The 2275-nt window shown below is 57.7% G+C and overlaps 1 protein-coding gene across 1 annotated transcript; it reads right to left on the bottom strand.

Moving 5' to 3' along the window:
* Positions 1-275: 275 nt before the first annotated feature.
* SCGB1C2 (secretoglobin family 1C member 2) lies at positions 276-1774 on the bottom strand. The gene is made up of 3 exons (NM_001097610.3): positions 1698-1774; positions 941-1140; positions 276-433 (listed from the first exon to the last, which is right to left on the bottom strand). Exons 1-3 carry the CDS (start codon positions 1750-1752, stop codon positions 401-403), a joined length of 288 nt encoding a protein of 95 aa, NP_001091079.1. The 5' UTR covers positions 1753-1774; the 3' UTR covers positions 276-400.
* Between the last annotated feature and the right edge of the window lie 501 nt (positions 1775-2275).

Raw genomic sequence — 2275 nt, 5'->3', positions numbered from 1 at the left:
TGTTCCTGATGTCCCCATTTGTGTGTCCCTCTGTGGGGGACTTTCGCACGTGTGCTCCTTGAGTAGGATCCTCTGTATGTGGGTCTGTGTGTGTGGCTGTGGCCCTGTGTTCCTGATGTCCCCATTTGTGTGTCCCTCTGTGGGGACTTTTGCACGTGTGCTCCTTGAGTGGGATCCTCTGTATGTGGGTCTGTGTGTGTGGCTGTGGCCTCGAGTGTGTTCCTGATGTCCCCATTTGTGTGCCCCTCTGTGGGGGCAGAGACAGGAGCCTGAGCTGCGGAAGAGGCTTTATTGATTAAACGGTTTGAGGATACATTTCCATGTGGGAGGTGGTAGTGGGCGTTGTGTCCACGGCTGCTTGTGTGGCAGGTCCTATGGCTGAGCCATGTCTGAGGTCCACTTAGGCACCGTCCTGACTGCCCAGCACTTGCACCTGGAAGGCAGACACATGTGGACTAAGAGGGCTGTGCTCAATAAGTGGAGAGCCACAGCTCCATCAGGCAAGCAAGGCCCTCAGTGGGGGGGGGGTCTGGCATATTGCTGCCTATCTCCTCCCAGCAGCTGGGAGGTGTGTGTGCACATGTGATGGTGTGCACACATGTATGTGTGTGCATATCCCAGTGTGAGCATGTGGGTGTGAACGTGTTTATACATGTGTGCACGCAGTGTACATTTCATGTCTGCACCTGTGTTTGGATCTCTGTGTATGTTCACATGTGTGCATGGAGGAGTATCCCACAGACTGGGGAGGAGGTCTATGGAGTCTGGGGGCTGCTCGGTGGACAGGAGGTCTGGGGTGTCCACCTGAGCTGGCTGATGCGGGTGCAATGTCTGTGGGTGGTGGATGTCTGTGGGTGGGGTAGGCTGTGTGGGTGCTGTGTTGGGTGGTCTTGGTAAGGCTGCAGATCTTTAGAAAATGGGGTGCCCGCCGCCCTCATACCAGCAGCTTGACCAGCTCCGCCTTGTGCATTGGCTGCAGGCCATCTCTGCAGGACTTGAGTTCAGTCATTGCTGCCTTGGCATCTTCGTTGACATTGTACTTGCCCAAGGTCCCCTCATAGAGCTCCTCTGGGGTCCCCACCAGTAGTGTTTGCAGGAAGTCCATGAAAAACTCATCGTTGTCCTCCCCCGTGGCCATCCCTGCATCACGAGCGAGATGATGCCAGGACAGGACAGGGTGACTCTGGTGCAACCACAGCCCTGGACCTGCCCCAGGGCTCTAACCTCCATGGTCTCCAGACCTTCCCCTTCAATGCTCACCTCTCCTCCCCAGGGCTTCCTCCACAACACCTCCAACTCCACCTTGCCCGAAGACCCCTCCACATCCCCCTTAATCTTAGCTGCTCCAATTTCCACTCAGCATTCCCTGGGATCACCAGGGAAGGAAAGTTAAGCTCCTGGTGTGGGGGAAATTTCCCCTGATGAGAGGCTATTATGACCAGAGGCTTGAAGGGTCAGGTCAGGCTGGACTGGGCTGGGGTAGGAGACACTGGGCTGGTGTTGGGTCAGCTGGGCTTTGTCCTTGGTTGGGGTGGAGTAGGGTGGGCGCGGGTTCTGCAGGGTCCTTGCCCACTTCTGTGACAGAAGCAGGTGGAGTGTTCACTGCAGAGGCCCGATGCCAGGATTTTACCTTCTCAGGTACCCCCCACTCCCCCCCGCCCCTGAATGTTCTGGAAACCCCAGTGGCACAGACTCACGGCAGATGCAGAACAGGGTGAGGGCCACCAGCAGGAGGGCACGGCTCCCCTTCATGCCGGCAGTCTCAGGAGCTGCCTCCAGCCAGAATCCCGGGATTTTATGCCTCACCGGACAGCACCTCTCCTAGAGGGCGGACCGGACCTGCCCATTAGGACCCGGCAGCCAGCTTAGATGAGGTTTGTTCACATCCCTGGCCCCCAGTGGGTGCCAAGCAGCAACAGGCATGGAGTGGCTGTGTGACAGGTGGTTGGCAAGCGGCTTTAGGGTGTGTGAGAGAGAGAACAGGTGTGTTAGGAGGGAACACTGGTGAGAGGCCATGCCAACTGATCGGTGAAGAAGGCAGTGGGTCCTGGCCACCAAGGGCCTCTAGTCATGCCTGCCCTTGAGGCCGAGAGTGGTGGGATCTGGGGTTGGTCCCACGCCTTTCTTTTAAGGTGGGAATCCCTCCTCTTATCAGTGTGCTGTGTGATCTGGGTCTGCATCTGGGGGTCTCCAATCAGGCAGGGGCCCCTTACTACTCAGATGGGGTGGCCGAGTAGGGGAAGGGGGTGCAGGCTGCACGAGTGGACACAGCTGT

The sequence above is a fragment of the Homo sapiens genome, chromosome 17, assembly GCF_000001405.40.
Source record: "Homo sapiens chromosome 17, GRCh38.p14 Primary Assembly".
NCBI classification, from domain to species: Eukaryota; Metazoa; Chordata; class Mammalia; order Primates; family Hominidae; genus Homo; species Homo sapiens.
Note: the sequence above shows the minus strand (reverse complement) of the source record. Positions and strands in the feature narration are given on the sequence as shown.

Bases quoted from the DNA above. Each gene is read 5' to 3' on its own strand.
- SCGB1C2 (NM_001097610.3), bottom strand. From the start codon at position 1,752: ATGAAGGGGAGCCGTGCCCTCCTGCTGGTGGCCCTCACCCTGTTCTGC. The intron at 1,141-1,697 runs GTGAGTCTGTGC...CTCGTGATGCAG, and splicing joins CACCCTGTTCTGCATCTGCC to GGATGGCCACGGGGGAGGAC. The intron at 434-940 runs GTATGAGGGCGG...TCTGCCTTCCAG, and splicing joins CGGAGCTGGTCAAGCTGCTG to GTGCAAGTGCTGGGCAGTCA.